Here is a 26078-nt window from a genome sequence, read left to right as displayed (position 1 = left end):
GTTGTTCTCAACTGGTTTCCAAAGGGATGTGAGGTGAGGGGAAGCATGTTTGTCCCAGACGTTTCTAATCACTGTGTTTGGGACTATTCCCTTCTCTTAGAGCGATGGTTATCAAGTTTGAGCATTCCTTAGAATCACCTGGATGGCTTGTTAAAACACAGATTATGGCCGGGCATGGTGGCTCACACCTGTAATTCCAGCACTTGGGGAAGTTGAAGCGGGCAGACCACTTGAGCTCAGGCATTCGCGACCAGCCTGGGCAACATGGCAAAACCCTGTCTTTACAAAAAATACAAAAATTAGCTGGGTGTGGTGGCATGTGCCTGTAATCCCCTCTACTGGGGAGGCTGAGGTGGGAAGATTGCTTAAGCCTGGGAGGTCGAGGCTACAGTGAGCTGAGATTGTGCCACTGCACTCCAGCCCGGGTGATAGAGTGAGACCCTGTTTCAAAAAAACAAAAACAAAACACACACACAAACAAACAAGGAAAAACACAGATTGCTGCCCCCTCCCCTGCACCCAGTGTATCTGCATTCAGTAGGTCTGGAGTGGGCATCTGAGAATGTGGATTTCTAACAAGTTCCTGCGAGATGCTGATGCTACTGGCTAAGAAACCAAACTCTGAGAACCACTGCCCTACAGGCTGACACGACCAGCTTAGGAAAATGTCCAGAGAGTAATTTTTCTCAACACAACATAAAAACCAACATAAATCTATACAGTTTTCTTTATCAAATGTCATCTCCTCTGTGCTGGCTTATCCCTGCCTAATGCTTGCTAAGTGCCTCACTTGGGCTTGTACCTTTCCTTTGTCAGTGTCACTATCTGAGAAAGACTTGAAGGTGACTTGAGAGAAGCATCCTGCATCAGCAGAGAAGGGTTGTTCCCAGTGATGTGCAATCAAACTAGCTGGTTCTGCCCTTTCCAGAGGCTGCCTGAGTTCGCAGCTGGGACCGTGGGGCCCTGGGGGGAACCACAGCATCTCAGTGACTGGTGAGAAGATGAAGCAGTTGTGGGTGGCACCATGGCCATAATGCCTTCCTCTTCTCTAGGGGCAGGTCTCTTGCCTGTGTCATCAAATGTGATCTACCTTTGGTTTCTCTGTAGGATTTATAAAAAAAATTACTATGTAAGAAATGTACTGTCAGGATTTTGGTTTTAGAAAGTGGGATCAAGTGGTACGCTGGAGCTAACTCTTATAACTCACAAGAGCCGATTTTTCACATCTCTTTCCAACTCCACATTCAGTGACATCATATTGTTTGCTTGAAGTTGGCTATTGTGGGAGTATTTACACCACAGAAATTGGCTTACACTACAAACTGGAGGGGTTTTCCCCCCAGAGAGCTAATTTGCCGGCATATCTCTGGTTGTGTATTTATCCACATTGCTTAAGAATCTATGATTTTACTTCATTGTTTCAGCATACAAATATCTTTGCTTGGTGCTACTGTGTTTCTCATTACCTGCTTACATAATTAAACACACATGGATGCAGAACCTACTCTGTAGCCGGGCTCTGTGCCAGAGTCTGGGGATATGGAGATGAAAGAGGAAAAAGCAATGAGACAAACTCCCTGATGTCCTGGAGATCCCAAGTCCATGGTGGGGAGCTACCACCTCTGATACAGCCACAGTTTCCCAGGGTGAGAAGAGTGTGTCAGCAGAGGGAGAGCAGCCTACCTGGGAAGCCAGAGAAGGCTTTGCAGAGAGCATGAGTGAGCCCACACAGCTCAATCTATCTGTGACAGAGAACGGCCACTGAGCTGTTTCAGACTCAGCATGTTTCATAATCATGGGTTTGTAATGAGCAACAGAAAGCAGTTCAATATTTTCCACAATGAGGATCTTTGACCTGTGCCAAAGATCTGTTTTTATTCTGGTTGAAACAGAATTCTATATTTTCTTCCCTTCTTAGGGTCTTGCTTCTCAAAGATTTTCCAACTCTTTCTAATTCATCTTCTGGAGTCTCTTCCCTCACTATTGCTTGCCAGGGCAGGGTGAGCCTCCTGAGCTACTCTCCAAGTGGGTCGATTGCAGTGAAGCCTGGAGCAGCAAATGATGCCATCAGAGGCAGGTGTGAGGCTCACAGGTCCCAACGCACGGGCCCCGGTTTCTGTGCCTATGTGCAGAGGTGGAAGCTCGTGACTGTCATCCACAGGAGAGGATAGGACTTGTTTCCCACACTCATGCCAACACTGTGTGCTATTATCCAACTTAGCAAAACCTGATAAGAAAACAATATCTCTTTAGTTTGTATTTCTTAATCACAAATGAGCATACATTCATATATAGATAAAATCATATTTAATTTGAACAGAAGTGTACCTTTTCCATTCATCAAAGCCTCAGGAGTTGGATACCTAGAATAATACATTTATATGCTCAGCCTCTTCTCTCAAGAGTCTTCATGGTTTCTTGATCTAGGATTGTTTGGGACACCATTTTCTAACACCCTGGAGATGTGGCAGCACTAACTCTACATATAGTACTTGTCATAAATCTTTGCATTCACTGCAATGTGTGATGGGTGACGTTCCCACACAGGGCACAACTCCCTAGATGCCTCCCTGCATCTTCCAGCAGTAGGAGCCATGACACAGAAAAGATAAACTTTGAGTTAGGCACAATCTCCAGGTGCTAGCCTACAGCTCCATACCTTTCTCTCCCATTGGTTGAGATATGCCCCTATGTATCAAAATTAGTGAAAATGGCATTCCAAGACCACAGCTCCTCACCTCCATTTGCAGTAGACTTCATGCCTCTAGAGATCGGCATGTCTAAAGTCAGAATCCACACAGAGAATGTTGTGCACACAGGTGAATGAAGGAGGGCAGCAGGCTCCCATCTCTCACACTCTGTATTCATCACTTCTTGTTACTGAACCTGGCCTCATATTCGGTCACCAGGGGCCACAGGGACTCTTTTTAAAGGGTTGGGAAGGAAGAGAGTCTTAGGATCCCCACCCGCTCCTTCACCTCCTTTGAGAAAATACAAATCAGGGGAACAAAGCGATTTTACAAAGAGCCATGCAACATCAGTATCATTATGCAAAACAGTACAAGGTAGAAGCCCAAGCCAGGACCCAAGCCAGTTGGCAGAGAGGGGTGTCATCTGGACACACAAGGCTTCAGCAGTGATGAGTCATGTATTGTGAATGGACGAAATCGTGGCTTTTAGTCCATGGAATGAATCTGGGCAGAGGATAAAGCCAAAAGATGGGTGCTACTTAGCAAATCAAAGGAAATGACTTTAAAAGCCTGGCTCTCTGATTTATAGAGAAGCTTGTTGCTATGTGATGAGGCGGAGGAGAGTAACAAAAGGGTGTTTGAAGATGTAACATATGCAGATTGCACCCAGTGGCCTCTGGAGGATGGGACAGCCTGCCCTGGTGATGTCTCCCAATGATGTTGTCTGTAAAGGGTTATGGATTGGTGAGCTCTGAATAACCCTTAGGTCAGCGCTCACTACTACTTACTTTCCTGAGAAGCCCAATCTGGACTGAATTCTCAGATTCTGTATTTCTTCTTGATAGAACTCCAATAGCCTGTGTTTCACATATGCACGTCTGATCCCTATAGAGGTGTATGTTCAGCTTTTGTTCAATGCTCAGGGGACTGGCAAAAACTCATTTTCCCAAAATTCTAGTTATAATCACTTTGGATTGTTCCACATTAGGTTTTTCTTAGTCTCAGGGGTCTATGTATCTTCTGTCACAAATTTTGGGAGAAAAGTTTTGGGATCTCAGCAGCCATGTGTCTTGGATCCCTAGTACCAAGAACTATCTGAATGTGGAATGTGTAATATAACCATTTTAGGGACAGGACTTTCCCCTGGCATCTTCTGATTTAGCCCTTGGAGAAACTCTGTTTTATTGTATGAATACCTCCACATCTGTATTTTCTGAGATACAAAGGGAAAAATACACAATGTCAGATTTTTGTTTTACATCTTAATTTCAACTTCTTGCCCGGTTTCTAGGAATTTGAATCCTTCTTAGTTCTAGCAATGACACAGTAGTTATCCTTGGGGTGGAGGATTTGGAGGTGGTCAAGGTGAAGAAACAGTTTCTGGAGTTGAAAGAAGCTGATGTTGAGAATAGGCTTTATACTTTATAGTGAGGTTGATCTTAGAAAACTGTCCTCAATGGCTTGTTTATTTATTTTGTAAAATTAAGAGTACCCACCTCCCAGGTTGGAAGTAAAGATTAAAAGGTATCATTGCTCAATCCCCTAGCTCATAGGGTGAAGGCTCATGACTGACTTTAGAATAAAGGAAGCAAGGTATGAAGAGAGCCCACAGAGGCTCTGATCACTCAATGTCCTTTGACTTTCATGACCAAGTTCTTATTTGAGGTTCAGTAAGATTATTGCTCATTTCTCTTTGTTTATTTCTGGCTTCTTGAGCTTGCCCTTCTTGGTCGAGATAAGCCATGGTTTTTGGAGTCATCCTCATTTTCATGAGCTTCTCAGATACCTTGTTTGAAACATCACGTCTACCCAAGTTACAGTTGTTCCCCAATGGCAGGAACTATTTTGTGCTTAACCAACTATATATCAAGCATCAGCAAGGTGCGTAGCATATGGGACGTAGCCAGGGGATGTGTTTTGAGTGACTGGATTCATCTAAGTCTTGTTGCTCCTCAAAGTGAGTCTGAAAGGCAACCAACTAAAGAAAGAAGAAATGTAGGACTTCTTGATAACCCAAGGCCATAACATCCACCAATTCCAAGACTCAGTTTCTTCCCTGGATAGGGAAGGCTGGTTGAGTCTTAACCCAAGTGAGAACCATTGTCATCACCGGGGTTAGTCCTCCTGCTACACCACTGACCAACAGGAAAGTTTGTGTCTCCAGAGTGGACACATCCATAAAGAGGCCAAACCCAGTCAAGGTCTAAGCATCTGATGGCTATAACTTTGCTTCTTTGAAAGATAATAAAAAGCTTCTGACCTCCCATCAACAGCCAACCTGATTTCAAAGAGCCAAGAGGCCTCAGATTCGTCAACATTCCTTTAACGAGCTGAGAAACTTTTCATGGTAAACTCAGCAGCTGAGTAACAGGATGATGGCACCACAACAGGTAGATAATCAAGGCAGGAGGTCAAAGCATTGGAGCCAACACCCGCCCAGGATGGGGTATAAAAGGGCTGGGAGGAGAGGAGGCTTCAGTCTCAGTGGTTCAGCTTTCCCAGCTGATCTGAAGCTCCTGTGCAGCCTCAGCCCAACACCATGACCTCTTCCTACAGCAGCTCCTCATGCCCTCTGGGTTGCACCATGGCTCCTGGAGCAAGAAATGTCTCTGTCTCTCCCATCGACATTGGGTGCCAGCCTGGGGCAGAGGCCAACATTGCCCCCATGTGCCTTTTGGCCAACGTGGCACATGCCAACCGAGTCCGTGTGGGGTCCACTCCCCTGGGCCGCCCCAGCCTCTGTCTGCCGCCTACCTGCCACACTGCTTGTCCCTTGCCAGGGACCTGCCACATTCCTGGCAACATTGGAATCTGTGGGGCCTATGGTGAAAACACCCTGAATGGCCATGAGAAGGAGACCATGCAGTTCCTGAATGACCGCCTGGCCAACTACCTGGAGAAGGTGCGCCAGCTGGAGCAGGAGAATGCGGAGCTGGAGGCCACACTCCTCGAGAGGAGCAAGTGCCACGAGTCCACCGTGTGCCCCGACTACCAGTCTTACTTCCACACCATCGAGGAGCTCCAACAGAAGGTGAGGTGTGGGATCGCTTGGGTGTGCTGGGTCTGAGATGGCAGAGGCAAGACAGGAGGAATCCATGTAAAGCTCAGAGAACTTTGGGTTCTTGGTTTCTCTTGGACATGATCATAGACACCACACGTGGAGAAGGAGCCTAGGGCATGATGCTTTGTGTGTGAACTGTCTTCCTGTTCTCCTCAGATCCTGTGCAGCAAGGCCGAGAATGCCAGGCTGATTGTACAAATTGACAATGCCAAGCTGGCTGCCGATGACTTTAGGATCAAGTAAGTCAGGCGGAGGAGGGCCAGGGTGACTCCTTCCCCACCCTCCATCCCAATGCCCAAATACTTGTTGAGTGAGGGAATCATTGTCATTTCTTCCTTGCTAGATTCTCTACAGTAAAATTTTCATTACAATCGAAGCTGATGGAAGATGGAAGGGAAAACTCCTCATTAATCCAAGCATATATGTTTGTCTTCCTTCATTTATTTCCCTAAAATGGAGGATAAGGCAGCCTGAGTTCATTAACCAGGAGCAAAATGAGGTGATTTGAAGGATGAACTGAGCAAGACAGCCATTGGGTTTCATATATAAGTCAGAGGAGTCACTTACAGATGAGTCTTTGTCCAGATTTAATTAGGGAGCCCTAAGGTACCAGGTATAAGGTACCTAGGCAAAAATGAGAGAGGGGAAGACAGCTGAAAGCAAGGGATAAGGAGCCGCAGATCACGATCAGGCACCTGGTTATTGCTTATCTTTGGTAACTGACAGCCCCTGCAATGGCATGAGCGTTGGACTGGGTCCCAAGATGCATGATCTTACGCAAGTCAGTTGATCTTCCTGAACTGCAGTTGCCACAGAATACAATGGCAAAAATGTATATTGTGCAATGTAGTGTTGTGATTTCTCCATTAGACCATGAGCTCTTTGAGAAGAGGGGCTGGGTCTAATTCACCTTTGAGGACAGAGGGCTAAACAGAGTGAATAAATGAGGATCCAAGGTGGTGTGGGAGGTAGGAAGCCAGGGCAGCCGAGAGGGGCTCTTGGGGGCATTCTTTTTGACCCTGTACCTCCTGTGATGAAAGGCTGGAGAGTGAGCGCTCCCTGCGCCAGCTGGTGGAGGCAGACAAGTGTGGGACACAGAAGCTCCTGGATGATGCGACCCTGGCCAAGGCCGACCTGGAGGCCCAGCAGGAGTCCCTGAAGGAGGAGCAGCTCTCCCTCAAGAGCAACCACGAGCAGGTGTGGCCCTGGGCGCTCAAACTCCTGGGGAGGGCACTGGGCAGACAGGGGAGCTCCCCAGCCCCGGGCTCTCAGAGCATTGCCTGGCCTCAGCTGGCATCAGGATGCAGGGCTGAGGTGGGTCTGAGGGTCCAGAGGGCCTCTGTGGAAAGTGCAGACTTGCCTTGGGCATGAGGAAGGTGTGCAGGTGGGCTCTCCCGAATGCCCTCTGGGCAAGACTTTCCCATTTGCTTGTGTGTGGGACTCCCCTCCTACTGCTTGCCAGGGGCGGGGTCCTGGTGCTGTCTGCTCCATCAAAGGCCCTTTCCTCATGCAGGCTGTCTGTCCCTTCCTCCCTTCTGCAGGAAGTAAAGATTCTGAGGAGTCAGCTGGGGGAGAAGCTCCGGATTGAGCTGGACATTGAGCCCACCATTGACCTGAACAGGGTGCTGGGGGAGATGCGGGCTCAGTATGAGGCCATGTTGGAGACCAACCGCCAGGATGTGGAACAGTGGTTCCAAGCCCAGGTGAGTGGGGGGGGTATAGAACCAGGGGGTACCTGGCCTCCATCTGGGCAGGGAGGTGACCGTGTCTCTCTGTGCTCCAGTCTGAAGGCATCAGCCTGCAGGACATGTCCTGCTCCGAGGAGCTGCAGTGCTGCCAGTCGGAGATCCTGGAGCTGAGATGCACGGTGAATGCCCTGGAGGTGGAGCGCCAAGCCCAGCACACCTTGGTACGTGTCCTTCACTCTCACTGCACTGCAAATGCCCCGTGCCATGGCCTAGTAGCATTTTATTTTGGAGGTCTCACTACCCAAGTTTCTCCCACCTGTTATCACCATCAAAATTTGAGGCATGTAGCAGTTTCCCTTGGGGCCTTGTATATTTTATCCCCTTATTTCCCACTACAGAAGGACTGTCTGCAGAACTCCCTGTGTGAAGCCGAGGACCGCTTCGGCACGGAGCTGGCCCAGATGCAGAGCCTCATCAGCAACGTGGAGGAGCAGCTGTCTGAGATCCGGGCCGACCTGGAGCGGCAAAACCAGGAGTACCAGGTGCTGCTGGACGTGAAGACCCGGCTGGAGAATGAGATTGCCACGTACCGGAACCTTCTGGAAAGCGAGGACTGCAAGTACGTGTGATCTGGGCAATTCCTGGCCAAATTATTTACTCAATTCTGATGAGGTCCTCAGGGCAGCAGAAGGGCTGTCTCTATGTAGAATGAGGCTCTCTGTGCACTCCTTTTCAGTGAGTCGTTGCCCTGTCCTGCACACTCCATGTGGTTGACAGAATGAAGGGAATGACCATGCACTTAGAGGATATTTACCAGGTCTCCACCGGGGCTGCTTGGGGTAGCCATGGACTGATGAGAGTAGACACAGGGTCGCTGCTCAAACAGGAGATATGTCCATAGATCCAGCAGATTTTTGGACTTGGTTTTCTTTTCTTAAATTCTTCCTAGGAATTTTTATTCTATAGGATAACTTTAATCATGGAAGGCATTTTAGAAACCACTTGTCTAGTCTAACCCTGGAGGTGCTCACTAGGTGCTAATGGTCACAGGGTCCAGCTGGGTCCATGTTCTGTTGTTTTGCAGTGGGGACTCCTTCCTCATGCCCCCACATGGCACTGAGACCCCATTCATTTCTTGCCTCTCACTTCCCTCACCTTGTCTCTCTGCAGACTCCCCTGCAATCCGTGCTCCACGTCTCCCTCCTGCGTGACTGCCCCCTGTGCTCCTCGCCCAAGCTGTGGCCCCTGCACCACCTGTGGGCCCACCTGTGGAGCCAGCACCACCGGAAGCCGATTCTGAATTCCTGTGGACCCACAGGGGCTGGCTAAGGCGAGGGATACCCAAAGAGAGATGCTTGTTATACCTTTAGAAAATCTGGCTTCTAACTTTCTGTATGTATAGGCCTGTCCAAAGGCTATGAGATACCAGGGACAGTGGAATCTTGATGGAAATCCTTCCTTTCCTGCTCTTGGTTTTCCCAGGTGAGCTCTATGCCCTCAGTGGCTGGATTGCAGCCACCCATGGTGGCTCAGAATATCTGGATTGGAGAGGCATAAGGTTGAAAAGCATTTTGGAGTAGGAACACGGCATGATTTAAAATTGCACTTGCACTTCAAGAACACCAACTTTAACTTGAAATTTTTATAGTTTATGACAAAGGAAGTGAAGAACAGACTTCACTGTCTGAGATTTCCCACATTTCTTGGGTTGTTTCTAACATTGGCAGCCTGGATTATGGCCCTAGGGAGAGGGAAATAGAATCAGAATTGTACCTGACCCTGTCTTTTCTAATTCCCTTCTCCTATCCTCCTGCCTCCCTATCTTGGAAACTGATTAAGTGGAAACTTTCCTTGTATCAAATCCTGAGTTTTCTCTACTTCAGGGTTTCTAGCTTTGACAAAGGACCAGGCTTGCCTTTTCTGTGGCAACACAGCCTCTTACATATGGCTTCCATAGCTTCTTGCTATGTGAAAGGAACTTTCAGATTAAGAAATTTCTCTCTTTTTTCTCTATAAATTCTGACTCTCCAGACTTGTCTGGCTATAACCCCTGTCCCTGTCTAATTCTCCCAGTCTAAAATCTAAACAATGACTTCATTTTTTTCTAGTACTTTCTCCTGAAGTATTGAAACCTATTGATTCAATGGGTAGAGATTTGCTAAGTATGATGTGCTTCCACCTCTTCTCTTCATACTCTCTACCTTCCTTACCATGATTCAGCCACACTGGCCTTTCTGTTCCTTGGACATGCCTGGAGACCTGTCCCTGCTCTTCCTTCTCTCTGGGGTGCTCTTCCCCCTCCTTATAAATGTTCAGGTCAGCGGAAATGTTCCTTCCTCTGAGAGCTCCTGCTTGGCCACCAGCCTAAAGGACTCACAACCCTGGCACTCTGTCCTGCTCATTAGCACCTCCAACAGCTGAACTTGCCTCTGTATCTGTTGTTTTCCCAATCAAAATGCTTACCCAAGATTAACAATTGTTCATTGCTGCATCCCCAGAGCCTAGCCCACTGCTTGGTACATAATAGATGCTTAATAAATATCTGTTGAAAGAACGAACACGTCTAGTCCTGACTTTATCTCTGACTTGTTGTGGGGTTTTTGAATCATCACTTCACATGCCTAAGCCTCAGCATTTTTTTTCCTGAGATAAAATAGGGATAATGTTATTGTTCATACTTATATCCCAGATCTGTCATGGATTCTAAGATAACAGAAATAAAAATACCCTGAAAAGGAGAAAGCACACAAGGAAACCTCACCCGGAGCCAGTACTGATTGTATAATGTTTAAGGAGTGCAGGGGCTGACCCACATGGCCAAGTTTAAGGGCCACCCGTGACCTCAGGCTTCTTCTTATGGGCAGGTAAATAAATTTCCTCTAGCATCTAAATTTAATCAGAAACAAAATGGTGCACATAACAACTTGCTTCCTAGAGCAAACTGTATTTGAGTATTTGCATTAGGCCAAACAATGAGAAAACTTTGCTTTGAGGGGCAGAACTCCTTTCTATTGAGTCCATCCAAGGAGAGAGGACCCACTTTCATGGGTGGTCTTGTTTCCATTTTCCCCTTTGGGTTCACCAGGGTTAAAGTGATGGGAGAACACACCTCGGTCTTGTGAGGCACTCAGTAATTCCAAGGGCCATTATGATCCCTGCAGAACTTCAATTTGGAGACTTGGGGGGAATGCAGATTAGGCCCATTTGTGGTCCTGATTTCTGAATGCGATTACCAGCTATTTTTCATTGGAAAAATAGCTTGAAGTTTAGCCTCACTCCTCACGTCTTGTAGCTTCATCGGAGAAAAAGCAACTGGGGAAATGGAGAAGTGACATGGACCGCTGATGTCAGAGTAAAGGCATGGTTCAAGCCAGCCTCCTTTTCCTAGGGAAGGAACTGTCTGGTTGCATTTGGGGGCTTCAGCTTGCAGTGCTAAATGTGGGTCTGGTGGTAAGGTGTGTCCTTCTGGAAGACCCTTTCATGCTACCAAGCCATTTTGTCTGAAGGTAATTGACTAGGCTATGTTATGAAGCAAGAACAGGAATCTTTCAGGAAACTGGCTTTTTTTTTTCTCCTTCATGATCTGAGCTAGAAAACTCCCTCTACAGGGGTGACTTTTTCTGAGAAGATAAGCAAATGAACATGGGACCTGTTGTGTTGATGTGCTCCTTGGAGATGCTACTTTTTAGGGAAGAGTCTCCTGCTTCAGGCCAGCCTCAGCCTCCTGACTGTACCTTGGTAGATTTATTTTTATTTTTTTTGCTCCTCTCACACTTTAACGAGGAATTTGACCGCAATTCTGGTATAAAGATTTCTTGCCTTACTATGAACAGCAGCATCTACATCACCTGGAGCCTGCTTTTGCTTTCTTTCTCTTTGATTGTTAAAATAAACATTTGAAAGTAACTGCATGATTTTCAAATGGAGTTGTATATAGCAGTGGTTTCCTCCTGCCTGGTGTTAAAGGCCGTCTCCTCCCTCTGAGAACAGAGTGCCGCACTACAGCACTCTTGTAGGGCAGACATCATAACCGCTTCTAAAAGATGAAGCTCACAGAGGTTAAATAACTTGACAGAAGATATGCATTCAGCAAGTGTTTGAGCCAGGACTTGGACCCAGACCCAGACCCTTGGACCCAGTTGATTTGAGCTCTGGCTGCAAATCAACTCTTACTGTATCACATCACATGAGTATCTCATCTGTGTTTCTTCAAGTGGCTCTGAGCTGCCTTTTAAAGGGAGATCCTGCAATGTGAGCCTCGGATGCCCATGTTTCTCAGGGTCACCGACACAGTGTGATTTGGAAAGGAGACAGACGTGGGTTTGTTTAGCACAAGACTTATAGAAGGACAGTTATAAAAGTCAGTTTCCTGAACCAGCTACCTTATCCTGAGCTCGTTGCTACCCAACTATTGCTAAGTGCTTTGTCTGTGTTGAACATTTCAAGGGTCAATATCAGTGTCTGAGAAGGGTTAAACACTGGCTCTTGAAGGCAGAGTATGTCATTAGCAGAGAAGAGCTCTTCCCAGTGATGTAAAAGTAAATGAGCTCGCTCTTCTCTTTCCAGAGATTGCCTGCACGAGTGGTGGGATGAGGCAGCTGTGGGCTTTAAGGCAGCCAGACAGCCAATTTATATAATTCTCTTCTTTTCATAAAAGGACATGGGTTAAATGCAAAGTTAAATGTGATCTACCTTTGAATGCTCTGTAGGACTTTTCATATAAATATATTTTTAGATGAAAACAAGTCTTGCCTTAATTCTGACTTGATTTAGCACCACGGAGTTTAGAAGTCAGGGATTTTGTATCATTGGTGCAACATGCTATGGTTTGGCTTTATACTATGTCTATTCATGTACGCATGCAGGCATTCCCTCAGCACACAGTTACTGAGAATCACCATGCACGTGATACTGTGGAGGATAATACTGAGTATGACTTGCTCCAGAGCTGAGCTCATTTAGTCACTTCTGTTTTTATCGATTGAGTGCTTTGTTATGTCAGGTGATGTACTGGGAATTACAGAGATGAACAAGACAAAAGCAGTAAGACAAAATTCCTGCTTCCAAGGGACTTTCAAGAACACTAACAACAGAATGAAGAGGGTTACATCAAGGTAAACTAAGGGTCAATGTGAGTAGAGAGAAGAGGAATTGATTGAATGCTCAGTGAAGCTGGAGAAAGCTTCCCCTTGAAGGCATCTCTTGAGCTGAGAAATATAAAATCACCTTTCAAAATCAGAGTATTCAATACTACTGGATTTTTTTTTTTTTGAGATGGAGTATTTCTCTGTTGCTTAGGTTGGAGTGCAGCAACGCTACCTCGGCTCACTGTAACCTCCACTTCCCGAGTTCCAGCAATTCTCCTGCCTCAACCTCCAGAGTAGCTGGGACTACAGGCATGTGCCACCATGCTGAGCTAACTTTTGTATTTTAGTAGAGATGGGGTTTTGCTACTACTACTACTGCTACATGTTGGCCAGGCTTGTTTTGAACACCTGACAGGTGATCTGCCTGCCTCAGCCTCCCAAACTGCTGGGATTACAAGTGTGAGCCACCAGGCCCAGCCACAATACTATTGTATTTTTAATGAAGAAAATGAAACAGGGTTGTCAGTATTTCCCTATTTTACTGCACGTAATTCATGAAGTGGGCCAAATAAATAGTTCTACAATGACTTATTCAGAATTTATTATTTTCCCTAATTCCTAAATCATTCACTCTTCAAGTTCCCATGATTATGCTTTTCTCCTTTCTACTAACTGCACCTTTGCCCCATGATCATCCACAGCTTAACACCCATAGGAAATGGTCCCCTGAGAGACACAGAGGAATGGATTGAGGGGACATTGAGGGGAAATCCATAGGCTGAAGGAGGCACAAAACAGCAGAGATGGCTCCTGGCCTAACACCCCAAGGACTTCTATAGGGTACCCTTATATTTTTTATCCTTATACTTCTGTCTATGTAAGTATGTCTATAGGATTAAATTCCTATAGGCGGAAATTATTGGTCGATAGTGTATATGTGGGCATGGTGGCTCACACCTGTTATCCCAGCACTTTGGGAGGCCGAGGCGGGTGGATCATGAGGTCAGGAGATCGAGACCATCCAGGCCAACATGGTGAAACCTCGTCTCTACAAAAAACACAAAAATTAGCTGGGCATGGTGGCATGTGCTTGTAGTCCTAGCTACTCAGGAGGCTGAGGCAGGAGAATTGCTTGAACCCGGGAGGTGGAGGTTGCAGTGAGCTGAGATCATGCCACTGCATCCTAGCCTGGCAATATAGTGAGATTCCGTCTCAAAAAAAAAAAAAAAAAAGCATTTGTAATTTTAACAGATACTGCTGAACTATTTTGTAAAGAGGTTGCACAACTTATTCTTCCCCTCAACAGTGTATGAAAGTGCATGTTTTCTTTATTTTGCTACAATCATGACATTAATCTATTTTGTTTTATTTTACTTTATCATAGAAAGAACACCTAACATGAGAGCTACCCTCTTAATAAAATTTTAGGTGTACAATAAATTACTATGGACTCTGGGTACAATGCAGTACAGTAGATCTCTAGGCCTTACACATCTTGCTTGACTGGAACTTTATGTTCATTGAACAGTAACTTTCCATTTCCCCTTTTCCCACAGCCTCTGGAAACCACCATTCCACTCTTTGATTCTATGAATTTGCCTATTTTAAATACCTTGTATAAGCAGAATTATGCAGTATTTGTCTTTCTGTGATCGGCTTATTTCATTTAGCATAATGTCTTCAGGGTTGAATCTATTTTAGATACCTCATATAAGCAGAATCATGCAGTATTTGTCTTTCTGTGATTGGCTTATTTTATTTAGCATAACGTCTTCGAGGTTTATTCACGTTGCGTATTGCAGAATTTCGTCCTTTTTAAAGGCTGAATGGAATTCCAGTGTTTGCACATACCAATTTCTTTTTGTATTTATCTGTCAACGGACATTTAGGTAGTTTCCACATTCTGGCTATTGTGACTCCTGCTGCAATGACCACAGGAGTGTTAACATCTCTTTGAGATCCCAATTTCAATTCTTTTGGATAAATACCCTGAAGTGAGATTGTTGGCTCATATGGTAATTCTATTTTTAATTCTTTGAGGAATCTCCATACTGTTTTCCATAGTGGCTGCGTCATTTTGCATTTTCCCAACAGCGTGCAATGGTTCCAGCTCCTCTATATCCTCACCAATACTAGTTGTCTTTTTTTTTTTTTGATAGTAGCCATCCTGAGTGGTGTGAAGTGATGTCTCATGGCTTTGATCTGCATTTCCCTTATGGCTAGTGACTTTGAGCATTTTTTCATATACCTGATGGCCGTTTGTACGTCTACTTTAGAGAAATGTCTATAGAAATCCTTAGCCCATTTTTAAATTAAAAAAAATTATTTTTTACAGTTGAGTTGTAGGACTTCCTTATATATTTTGGAGGCTAACCCTTTATCAGATATATGATTTACAATTCTTTCTCCCATTCAGTAGGTTGTATTTTCACTCTGTTGTTTCTTTTGCTGTGCAAAAGCTTTTTAGTAAGACTAAACTTCTGATCTTTGCTAACTTAAATAAGTAAAAAATAAGTAATTTAATAAGCATTTTTGAATTATGAATGGTGTAAGCATGTAAACACACCAGTAACAGTAAAATCCATTAAAAAACACAACACTTATTTAGTGCTTACCATGTACTCTGTGCTAGACACTATTTTACGTGATTTACAGGTATGGATTTTTTTAAAACTTAAATCCATTAGCTAGGTGCTATTGTCACTCCATTGTGCATAAGCAGAATTTGAGGCACAGAGAGGTCAAGTCACCAGCCCAAGTTCACACAGCTAATAAATGATAGAACCAGAATCTGAACCCAGGCAGGCTGGATCCAAAATTCATTGTCTTAAACCTCTACTATGCTGCATTAAAGGATTTTGTAATAGGTCTTGGTATGAGGTAAATAAGGGGAAATTTCCTGCCTTAGCATGTAGATAAAGAAACTCTAGGATCAGGGAACAAAGGGGAGGGGAAATGAAGATAACTTTTTCAGTATTTAGTCTCTGATGACCTTAAGACCTGGGATAAGAATAAAGCAAACTAGGCAGGGCGCTGTGGCTCACTCCTGTAATCCCAGCACTTTGGGAGGCCGAGGTGGGTGGATCACCTGAGGTCAGGAGTCGGAGACCAGCCTGGCTAACATGGTGAAACTCCATCTCTGCTAAAAATACAAAAAATTAGCCGGACGTGGTGGCGTACGCCTGTAATCCCAGCTATTCAGGAGGCGGAGGCAGGAGAATCTCTTGAATCCAGGAGACGGAGGTTGCAGTGAGCCAAGATCAGACCACTGCTCTCCAGCTTGGGCAACAAGAGCAAAACTCCATCTAAAAAGAAAAGAAAAACAAAAAAAGAATAAAGCAGAATAATAATTTAAAAATACTTAAAATCAAACCAAAGTTTCCCAAGTAACTAGATTTTAAAATCCTATTTAATAGAAAAGAAAACGGTGACTTTTTTTTTTTTTTCAAAGCCTTCTGAGGTGGACTTTTGAAATGATAAAGGTGTTTTGGGTTATCCTTCCTCAGACTCTGTTTTCACCCAGCATGTCTGAGAGCCTTGCAGGCACAGTGGTATCAGGACACACTGCTGGTCGTGGTTTGCAGATGTTTTCCTGGCGTAATTCACATCAGGATGCAGTGTGTGGGCAGCTCCTGTTTCCTTAGGTGTCTTCAGAATTTTTCCTCTGCAGCTGGAGCAGGTGGTTGCAGATTAGACTCACACCCTGTGGACCGCCCAGTGCCTCTGCTTCTGTCTCACTCAGAGATGCGTCAGAACGGTCAGACTCAGAGATGCGTCTGCACCGTGGCACCAAGTGATGCTGTTCTGAACCCAGTGTTTCCCCTCTGCCTGAAGAGAGATTACAGCTCAAAATCTTTTAATCCTCAAGAGAGAAGAGGTGGCCCCTGTGAAGGAAGGAGGGCTGCAGGACTACCTCTGTCTTCTCTCTTCATCTCTGATACCTCCCTTCATGCAACTTGGAATATATGTTTATTTTCAGGGGCCAGAAACTCTTTTTAAAGAGGAGCAAGAGGGCCGGGCACGGTGGCTCATGCCTGTAATCCCAGCACTTTGGGAGGCTGAGGTGGGTGGATCACGAGGTCAGGAGTTCAAGACCAGTCTGGCCAACATGGTGAAACCCCATCTCTACTAAAAATACAAAAATTAGCTGGGTGTGGTGGCGGGTGCCTGTAATCCCAGCTACTAAGGAGGCTGAGGCAGGAGAATCGTTTGAACCCGGGAGGTGGAGGTCGTAGTGAGCCGAGATCATGCCATTGCATTGCATTGCACTGCAGCCTGGGTAATAGGGCGAGACTCTGTCTCAAAAAAAAAAAAAAAAGGGAGGAAGAGGAGGCTCATCTGATCATCTGCAATGTCAAGGATGGGCTCCTTCCCACCTACACAGCTGAGTACATCCCAGACACCTGCCTCATGCCTTCCACCTACTGCCTGTTCCTTTGAGACCAAAGAAAATCAGAAGAGCCCTCTGCTGTACGAAGGACTAGGCAGTGTCTATGTCATTATGCAAAATGGACCATGCAGAGCCCAAGCCAGAGACACATATCAAGCTTTGGAGAGGTGTGTCAGGACGCAAAGGATGCAAAGCTTCAGCTGTGATGCTTAAGAATTAACAAGTGTCATATGTTCTGAGACAGAAGGAACCATGATTTTAGCCAATGGGATAAAATCCTGCCAGAGGATAGGGTCAAGAGAGGGTTCCTATTTAGCAAATCAAAGGGAAGAATTTTAATGCTTCAATTCTCTGGATTATAGTGATGCTATGTGTTGAGGCGGAAGATAGGAACAAAGGGGTCTTTGAAGATGGAAAATGCAGATTGCACCCAGAGGCCTCTGAGGGATGGCCTGGCAGGGAGAGGCCCTCTAAGGATTGCCCCAGTAAAGAATGAGTCATAGCTGACCTCAGGGCCGCTGGAGCCACAGCTGACCCACAGTGGGTTTTCCTCTTGGGAAGAATTCCAGACCCCTTATTTCTCCTTGAGAGAATTCCAAGAGCCCAGGTTTCATCAACACCATCATCCCCTGACTCCCTTGTGGTTTTCACGGGGATGCATGTTCAACTTTTTCTCAGAGCAAAGATGTATTTATGCTGTTTAAAAATATATGCACACAGTTTTATGTATAATGTGGCATCATAACTTGTAGGGCATTTACTCTTATTTTATACATTCAGATATGTTTGGTTTTTTTTTTGAAACACTTCTTAAGGCTACACAACAGGACAGAGAAAAATAAACAGGAACATATTCAACAATTATAAAACATGATATGATAAAGAATATAAAGTACTAGTTTCCTTTCAATACTTCAAAAGATACATATATAAACTTTAAAAAAATGCTCAACATCACTAATGATCAGGGAAATGCAAATCGAAATCACAATGCGATACGACCTTGCTCCTGCAAGAATGGCCATAATCAAAAAAATAAAAAAACAATAGATGTTGGAGTGGATGTGGTGATCAGGGGACACTTCTACATGGCTGGTGGGAACGTAAACTAGTACAGCCACTATGGAAAACAGTGTGGAGATTCCTTAAAGAACTAAAAGTAGAACTATCATTTGATCCAACAATCCCACTACTGGGTATCTACTCAGAGGAAAAGAAGTCATTATGCTAAAAAGATACTTGCACACACACATTTGTAGCAGCACAATTCACAATTGCAAAATCACAGAACCAACCCAAATGCCCATCCATCAGTGAGTGGATAAAGACACTGTGGGCTGGGCACAGTGGCTCACACCTGTAATCCCAGCACTTTGGGAGGCCAAGGCGGGTGGATCACCTGAGGTCAGGAGTTCAAGACCAGCCTGGCCAACATGGCGAAACACCTTCTTTACTAAAAATACAAAAATTAGCTGGGCATGGTGGTGGCACCTGTAATCCCAGCTACTCGGGAAGCTGAGGCAGGAGAATCTCTTGAACCTGGGAGGTGGAGGTTGCAGTGAGCCGAGATGGTGCCACTGCACTCCAGCCTGGGTTACAAGAGTGAAGCTCTATCTCAAAAAAAAAAAAAAAGAAACTGTGGTACATATATATGATGAAATACTACTCAGCCATAAAAAGGATGAATTAATGGCACTTGTAGTGACCTGGATGAGATTGGAGACTATTATTCTAAGTGAAGTAACTCAGGAATGGAAAACCAAACATCATATATTGTCACTGATATGTGGGAGCTAAGCTATGAGGATGCAAAGGCATAAGAATGATACAATGGACTTTGAGGACTTCGGGGGAAGGGAGCGGGTGAGGGATAAAAGACTACAAATAGGATGCAGTGTATACTGCTTGGCTGATGGGTGCACCAAAATCTCACAAATCACCACCAAAGAACTTACTCACGTAACCCACCTGTGCCCCAATACTTATGGAAAAAAACCCCACCACTTATGGAAAAAATACCACCTGTACCCCAATAACTTACGGAAAAAAACCTAAACTTTTTTTTTATAAGTAACATCACAGATGCTCACATCTTCACATGCTTTTAAGTATTATTTGTACTCAGTGTAAGGCTATTATCATTTTTCATACATAAAGTTTTTTTTAGCTGTGTAACAATGCAATTTGTAATCCATTCAAGTAAATTCAGCCCCAAAGTTGTTGCTTCCCAGCATTAAGTCCTGCGCCCACCCCTCTTCTAAGATTTTCTAAAACTTGTATTTCAGAGGAAAAAAGTGTAGCTGAAGGGAATGCATATTTGATGCATATTTGGCTACACGATTTCTGTTTACTGTATTTTGCTTCCTATTTTATGTCTAAATCCTATTATTTTCATTTAAAATCTTAATAATGGCTCATTTCCAGTATGTCAATTTCAAAGACTTAAGGTTTTGCTACTAGTATCAGCCATTTACTTTCCCACTAATTGGGATTTTTTTTTTTTTAAAGAGTTTATTTATACTCTTTTAGAGCTTGTCCCATGGTCCTTCTGGTTTCCCTCTACCACTTGGGAGGGATGACTCCTGGCCACACCCCCATTGGTTGACTTGTTTTCCAGCTCTACTGGAAATCTCTGGGATTTGGGATATACAGTCAGAATGTTTCTGTCAACGACAGACCACATATACGGGCGGTGGTCCCACAAGATTATAATGATGCTGAAAATTCCTATTCTCTAGTGATGTGGAAGTGGTTATAATGTCGTAGTGCAATGCATTACCTTTTCTATGTTTAGATACACAAATATTATCGTGTTAATAATAGTTGCCTATGATACTCAGTACAGCAACATGCTGTACAGGTTTGTAGCCAGGTGCTATAGGCTGTGCTATACAGTCTAGGTGTGTAGTAGGCTCTACCATCTAGGTTTGTGTGAGTTCCCCCTATAATGTTTCCACAGTGAAGAAATCTCTTAACGACGCATTTCTCAGGACGCACCCTGTCTTAAATGATGCATATGTTACAAACTAGCGTAACTTTTTTTTTCTTTTTTGAGACAAAGTGTCAATCTTGTTGCTCAGGCTGGAGTGCAATGGCGCAATCTTGGCTCACGGAAACCTCCGCCTCCCGGGTTCAAGCAATTCTCCTCCTCAGCCTCCTGAGTAGCTGGGATTACAGGCATGTACCACCATGCCCGGCTAATTTTATATTTTTAGTAGAGACCGGTTTTCTCCATGTTGTTCATGCTGGTCTCGAACTCCTGACCTCAGGTGATCCGCCTGCCTTGGCCTCCCAAAGTACAGGGATTACAGGCGTGAGCCACCGCGCCCGGCCTAGTTTAACTTTTTAAAGTGCATTTTCTTGTTGTCACTGCCATAGTATTTAAATCTTTTCCTTTGCTGGAACACAAAGACCTTCAGTAATTTTCTTTTCACCACAATTTCTCATCCAGTAACTAAGCCCCTTCTTGCCCTCTCCTTAGGCCCAGCACTGACGGGGCAATGACACCGTTGTTCTCACCGGGGGCCATGATGAAGTGAAAAGAGAATGGGCCTAGCAGACATGAGACTGAATCGAGCCTTTGCCAGTTCACTAACTGTCAATCAGAAAATGTGCAAATGTACTTCACTCTAGTTTTCTCATCTGTACATTGAGGCAATGAGTAACCACCTCATAGGTGGTAAGGGTTAGATAGGAAAGAACACAGTAGAATGCCTAGCACACCTAAGTACTCAATCAATGTTAGTTCTGGACCTTTCATTTGAATACTGCTTGAGCTCTGTGCCCAATCTCCCTTTCCTGGATCAAATAAGATTTTTCTTTGTTAGTGATTTCTTTCTAGATACTTCCTTGGCCAGAACTATAGATCCTCTGTCTTTCACTAACTCTTGTTGATCTATGGTTCTCATTCAAGTTTGTGTAGAACATCCAGAGATTTCAGAGGCATTGTTTACTCCTGATGAACAGGGAACATTGCGTGTCCAGGAACCAGCACACTGCCTGAGTTATGGGGGATATTCAGGAAGCATGCTGAACCAATGAATGAATGAACAAATGAATGAATAGCTGATTCTGACTAGTCAACCAAAACTTAATTAGCGCCATTGCTTCCAGATGTTATTGCTTCTCAAGGGAGTATGCAATGTGAAAGAAGAAAGAAAAAAAGGCGCCTCTCAATCGTCAAATATCAGTAGATGCATTGGTTTTATTAACTGATATTTTCTCTTCAAAGGAAAGGCTGATTCAGTCTTGCACAGGCGAAAGATCCAGTGGGTCCCATTGGTTCTCTGTGTCTCCTGCTACACAAATTACTGACGGAAAGATTTGAGCCTTCATTGTGACCACATCCACAGAGACCATAGTCCAGAGAGAGCAATTGGGGCCTGAATCAACTGCTGGTGTTTGTTGAGCAGAAACAGTGAGTCTCTGACTTCCCACCAACAGCTAACCTGATATGGAAGAGCCAAGAGGCATCTCAGATTTGTCAACATTGCTTTAATGAGCTGAGGAACTTCTCATGGTAAACTCAGCAGCTGAGTAACAGGATGATGGCACCACAACAGGTAGATAATCAAGGCAGGAGGTCAAAGCACTGGAGCCAACACCCGCCCAGGATGGGGTATAAAAGGGTTGGGAGGAGAGGAGGCTTCAGTCTCAGTGGCTCAGCCTTCCCAGCTGATCTGAAGCTCCTGTGCAGCCTCAGCCCTACACCATGACCTCCTTCTACAGCACCTCCTCATGCCCTCTGGGTTGCACCATGGCTCCTGGAGCAAGAAATGTCTTTGTCTCTCCTATCGATGTTGGGTGCCAGCCTGTGGCAGAGGCCAATGCTGCCTCCATGTGCCTCTTGGCCAACGTGGCACACGCCAACAGAGTCCGTGTGGGGTCGACTCCCCTGGGCCGCCCCAGCCTCTGTCTGCCCCCAACCAGTCACACTGCTTGTCCCTTGCCAGGGACCTGTCACATTCCCGGCAACATCGGAATCTGTGGGGCCTACGGCAAAAACACCCTGAATGGCCATGAGAAGGAGACCATGAAGTTCCTGAATGACCGCCTGGCCAACTACCTGGAGAAGGTGCGCCAGCTGGAGCAGGAGAATGCAGAGCTGGAGACCACACTCCTCGAGAGGAGCAAGTGCCACGAGTCCACCGTGTGCCCCGACTACCAGTCCTACTTCCGTACAATCGAGGAGCTCCAGCAGAAGGTGAGGTGTGGGATCGCCTGGGCATGCTGGGTCTGAGAAGGCAGAAGCCTTCGCAGGAGGAATCTGCATAAGGTCCAGAGAGCTTTGGGTTCTTGGTTTCTCTTGGACATGAGCGTAAATACCACACATGGAGTGGGAGCTTAGAGTATGGTGCTTTGTGTGTGAACCGTCTTTCCGTTTTCCTCAGATCCTGTGCAGCAAGGCTGAGAATGCCAGGCTGATTGTACAAATTGACAACGCGAAGCTGGCTGCTGATGACTTTAGGATCAAGTAAGTCAGGATGAGGAGGGTCAGTGTGACTTCTCTCCTGCTGTATTTCCAAGGGCCCGCCCCATTACTCAGTCTATATTGTAGGTGTTCAAAAACAGTTTTTGACTAGAAGAATATTTCTCTCCACACCTTAAATTAGCCTGTTGCTAGAAATGGTCATTATATAGGAGGAAAGAGAATATAAGCATTGAAAGAAAAAGAAGGGCTGTAGTCTAGATTGGTTAGAACCTATGTCACTTTCTCCCATATCTAGAAGATAAGAGGATTTTGCTTTTCAATCAGAAGTAAAATTGAGTCATCACAAAAATAAACTGTCAATGCATAGGTTGTTGCTAGACTCTCTGACTCTTGGCCAAATCCATCAGCTGGAGGAATTGTCATTGAAGCTCCTTGGTAGCTAGAGTTGTGCTTGAATGAAGGGGAAAAGCAAGAAAACAACGAGAAATAATGAATCCAAGAGGAAAAGCAGCAAACTGAAGGTCCAGAGGCTTATTTTTAGCCATTCTTTTTCCTGGCCAAATGACTCCTATTATGGCAGAATAAATGCTGCATTTGAAGTCAGAACACTTAGGATGAGTCCATGCATTTACTATTAACTGGGCATGGAATTCTGAACAACTCGTGTTTTGTTTCTGAGCCTCAGTCTTCCATCTGGTCAATGGGCATAATGTCCTGACTACAAACCGTGTCGCTGCAGGGTTGAGAATAGTGTATACTGCCCACGTGAACAAATAAGGATCCAAGGTGGTGTGGGAGGTAGGAAGCCAGGGCAGCTGAGAGGGGCTATTGGGGCATTCTTTTTGACCCTGTGCCTCCTGTGACGGAAGGCTGGAGAGTGAGCGCTCCCTTCACCAGCTGGTGGAGGCGGACAAGTGCGGGACGCAGAAGCTCCTGGATGACGCGACCCTGGCCAAGGCCGACCTGGAGGCCCAGCAGGAGTCCCTGAAGGAGGAGCAGCTCTCCCTCAAGAGCAACCACGAGCAGGTGTGGCCCTGGCTGCTCAGACTCCTGGGGAGGGCGCTGGGCAGACAGGGGAGCTCCCCGGCCCTGGGGCTCTCAGAGCATTGCCTGGGCTCAGCTGGCCTAAGGATGCAGGGCTGAGGTGGGTCTGAGGGTCCAGAGGGCCTCTGTGGAAAGTGCAGACTTGCCTTGGGCATGAGGAAGGTGTCCAGGTGGGCTCTCCCAAATGCACTCTGGACAAGACTTTCCCATTTGCTTATGTGTGGGACTCCCCTCCTACTGCTTGCCAGGGACGGAGTCCTGGTGCTGTCTGCTCCATCAAAGGCCGTTTCCTTACGCAGGCTGTCTATCGCTTCCATTTCTGCAGGAAGTAAAGATTCTGAGGAGTCAGCTGGGGGAGAAGTTCCGGATCGAGCTGGACATTGAGCCCACCATTGACCTGAACAGGGTGTTGGGGGAGATGCGGGCTCAGTACGAGGCCATGGTGGAGACCAACCACCAGGATGTGGAACAGTGGTTCCAAGCCCAGGTGAGTGGGGGTTACAGAGCCAGGGAGTACCTGGCCTCCATCTGAGCAGGGAGGTGACTGTGTTTCTCTGTGCTCCAGTCTGAAGGCATCAGCCTGCAGGCCATGTCCTGCTCCGAGGAGCTGCAGTGCTGCCAGTCGGAGATCCTGGAGCTGAGATGCACGGTGAATGCCCTGGAGGTGGAGCGCCAAGCCCAGCACACCTTGGTACGTGTCCTTCACCCTCACTGCACTGCAAATGCCCCATGCCATGTCCTGGTAGTAGCATCTCTTAAAGTCTCACAAATCAGTTCCTTCAACATTAAGTCAAGATCTGGGGTCCTCTATACCCGATGGAGACGTCTTGCTGTCAAGTTCAGTGTGACCCAGGGAAATGGTTTCTTCAGAAAATCAAGTCCACTTCCTTTACAACACAGTGCGGAAGTTCAGGCACTCACTCCACAAGATTTTACGAGGTGCCTGCTTTTTGTCAAGCACTGGGGATACAGGGATGAACATGACAGTTCCTTAAGTTAGATTTGTGTGCATGAGAGAGAAGTCATGGTCATGTTGACAGTGATTTCTCCAGAGCTCTGAGAATGTCCTATGACATTTTGGAATTTGCCCTATGTGTGATGAGTTTGGTCATGATTTTCACTGCTGAGTTTTGGGGCACCTGGATCTCTTACCCCATTATTTCCCATTACAGAAGGACTGTCTGCAGAACTCCCTGTGTGAAGCGGAGGACCGCTACGGCACAGAGCTGGCCCAGATGCAGAGCCTCATTAGCAACTTGGAAGAGCAGTTGTCTGAGATCCGGGCCGACCTGGAGCGGCAGAACCAGGAGTACCAGGTGCTGCTGGACGTGAAGGCCCGGTTGGAGAACGAGATTGCCACATACCGGAACCTTCTGGAGAGCGAGGACTGCAAGTACGTGTGATCTGGGCAATTCCTAAGCCACACACATGACTGTCAGGCAATTCCTCAGAGGTAATGGAAGTGCTTGCAGAAGATATCATCTTAACAAACAAGCCTTCCTGTGCTCTCTTGCTCAGTGACTCATTAACCTCTCCTGGTCTGTGCAGACTGGATTATTGAGAAAATGTTCTCTAAATGATAGCCAGGTCCCTAAGCCAAATCTTCCCCAAGGATTCCTGGATGTAGAAAGACACAGATGAGAGAACTGTTGGTATAGATTCTCTGGTCTGTGTGCCTTGTTGGTGGCAGGCCCAGCCTTCACCCTGATCTTACCCTTGTCCATCAATCACTGAGACATCTTTTTAATGTAACTCTTCTTTCTCTCCCTGCAGACTCCCCTGCAATCCCTGTTCCACGCCTGCCTCCTGTACTTCTTGTCCAAGCTGTGGCCCTGTCACCGGTGGGTCTCCCTCTGGCCATGGAGCCAGCATGGGGAGATGATTCTGAAGGCCCGAGTTAGGAGATTGAGGCTGGTTGCACTGGGGTCAGGAGTGCCCTCACCTTGCCCAGTCTTCCTTCAAGACTAGACTCACTGAGGCATTTTCCCTAAATCAACCGGTAGCAGATACTTCCAAGGAGTGGCTCCCTGCCTATGCCTCTAAGCTGTATTTTTTGTTGTTGCTAAAATGTTGTAATTATCTTCCATGAAAGCAATTATTTTTCCTGGTGTCTCTTCTTGGTACTTTTAGTTCTATTCCAGTGTTTCAGAATCTCCAAAAATGTAACTGGGTTCCCTGCATTAAATGGTCAATAAACCTCCTTCCTGCACCAAGTGCTGTCTCCCCGGTGTTGGTTGTATGTGAGATGTCGGAGAGTCCTGGTCGTCAGGTCCTGTGTCCTCACTGGCTCTGACATCTTGCTTCCAGGAGCTCCCTGGGGTGCTCTGGGGCCTCTGGATGAAGGTCCCTTCCTGATGTTGGATGTGTATTCACCTTTCCCAGGGATCCCTATAGACTGGTGGAAGGAAGTGATGCCAGTTGCCAAGTTTGAATTCTTTCAGAACAGCTCAGAGCTAACATGTCCCTACCATGCTTTTGGCATCTTCAGCCTCTTGTTATTTTGTCCAAGAGCAAAATCACATCACTTAGCATTCTAATATCGTCAAAGGAAGGTCGTGTTGAGAATTGTCTGAGCCAAGTTGCCAAGTTTTTCCTCTCACTCCAGTTGGCCCCTTTCATGGAGCCATGGAATTCTCGCCCACTCTCCCAAATGCAGAGGCCCAGATTGGGCACTGGAGACTGGGGTC

General features: G+C 45.9%; 2 protein-coding genes across 2 annotated transcripts, besides 2 other annotated features; both read left to right on the top strand.

Annotated features, from left to right (window-relative positions):
- Positions 5012-5512: an enhancer, noted in NCBI's record as "H3K4me1 hESC enhancer chr17:39596891-39597391 (GRCh37/hg19 assembly coordinates)". NCBI's record gives its function as "activates a minimal SCP1, AML or CMV promoter by ChIP-STARR-seq in primed H9 embryonic stem cells {active_cell/tissue: H9 hESC(primed)}" and the evidence as "EXISTENCE:reporter gene assay evidence [ECO:0000049][PMID:30033119]".
- KRT38 (keratin 38) lies at positions 5168-9997 on the top strand. Its single transcript, NM_006771.4, has 7 exons — positions 5168-5721; positions 5908-5990; positions 6792-6948; positions 7293-7454; positions 7535-7660; positions 7838-8058; positions 8610-9997. Exons 1-7 carry the CDS (start codon positions 5230-5232, stop codon positions 8737-8739), a joined length of 1371 nt encoding a protein of 456 aa, NP_006762.3. The 5' UTR covers positions 5168-5229; the 3' UTR covers positions 8740-9997.
- KRT37 (keratin 37) lies at positions 21566-25604 on the top strand. The gene is made up of 7 exons (NM_003770.5): positions 21566-22119; positions 22307-22389; positions 23217-23373; positions 23717-23878; positions 23957-24082; positions 24564-24784; positions 25165-25604. Exons 1-7 carry the CDS (start codon positions 21628-21630, stop codon positions 25271-25273), a joined length of 1350 nt encoding a protein of 449 aa, NP_003761.3. The 5' UTR covers positions 21566-21627; the 3' UTR covers positions 25274-25604.
- Positions 24740-25034: a silencer, noted in NCBI's record as "tiled region #10866; HepG2 Repressive DNase matched - State 8:EnhW, and K562 Repressive non-DNase unmatched - State 21:Repr". NCBI's record gives its function as "represses a minimal TATA promoter and a strong SV40 promoter by Sharpr-MPRA in HepG2 and K562 cells {active_cell/tissue: HepG2 | K562}" and the evidence as "EXISTENCE:reporter gene assay evidence [ECO:0000049][PMID:27701403]".

The sequence above is a fragment of the Homo sapiens genome, chromosome 17, assembly GCF_000001405.40.
Source record: "Homo sapiens chromosome 17, GRCh38.p14 Primary Assembly".
Lineage (NCBI taxonomy): Eukaryota > Metazoa > Chordata > Mammalia > Primates > Hominidae > Homo > Homo sapiens.
The sequence above is the reverse complement of the archived record's forward strand: the minus strand, read 5'-3'. Positions and strand labels throughout refer to the sequence as shown.

What these genes read in the sequence shown, in the direction of transcription:
- KRT38 (NM_006771.4), top strand. Translation starts at nt 5,230, where the DNA reads ATGACCTCTTCCTACAGCAGCTCCTCATGCCCTCTGGGTTGCACCATG. An exon ending in GCCGATGACTTTAGGATCAA is followed by an intron (nt 5,991 to 6,791) that starts GTAAGTCAGGCG and finishes CTGTGATGAAAG; the next exon opens with GCTGGAGAGTGAGCGCTCCC. An exon ending in GCCAAGCCCAGCACACCTTG is followed by an intron (nt 7,661 to 7,837) that starts GTACGTGTCCTT and finishes TTCCCACTACAG; the next exon opens with AAGGACTGTCTGCAGAACTC.
- KRT37 (NM_003770.5), top strand. Translation starts at nt 21,628, where the DNA reads ATGACCTCCTTCTACAGCACCTCCTCATGCCCTCTGGGTTGCACCATG. An exon ending in TCGAGGAGCTCCAGCAGAAG is followed by an intron (nt 22,120 to 22,306) that starts GTGAGGTGTGGG and finishes CGTTTTCCTCAG; the next exon opens with ATCCTGTGCAGCAAGGCTGA. An exon ending in TCAAGAGCAACCACGAGCAG is followed by an intron (nt 23,374 to 23,716) that starts GTGTGGCCCTGG and finishes CCATTTCTGCAG; the next exon opens with GAAGTAAAGATTCTGAGGAG.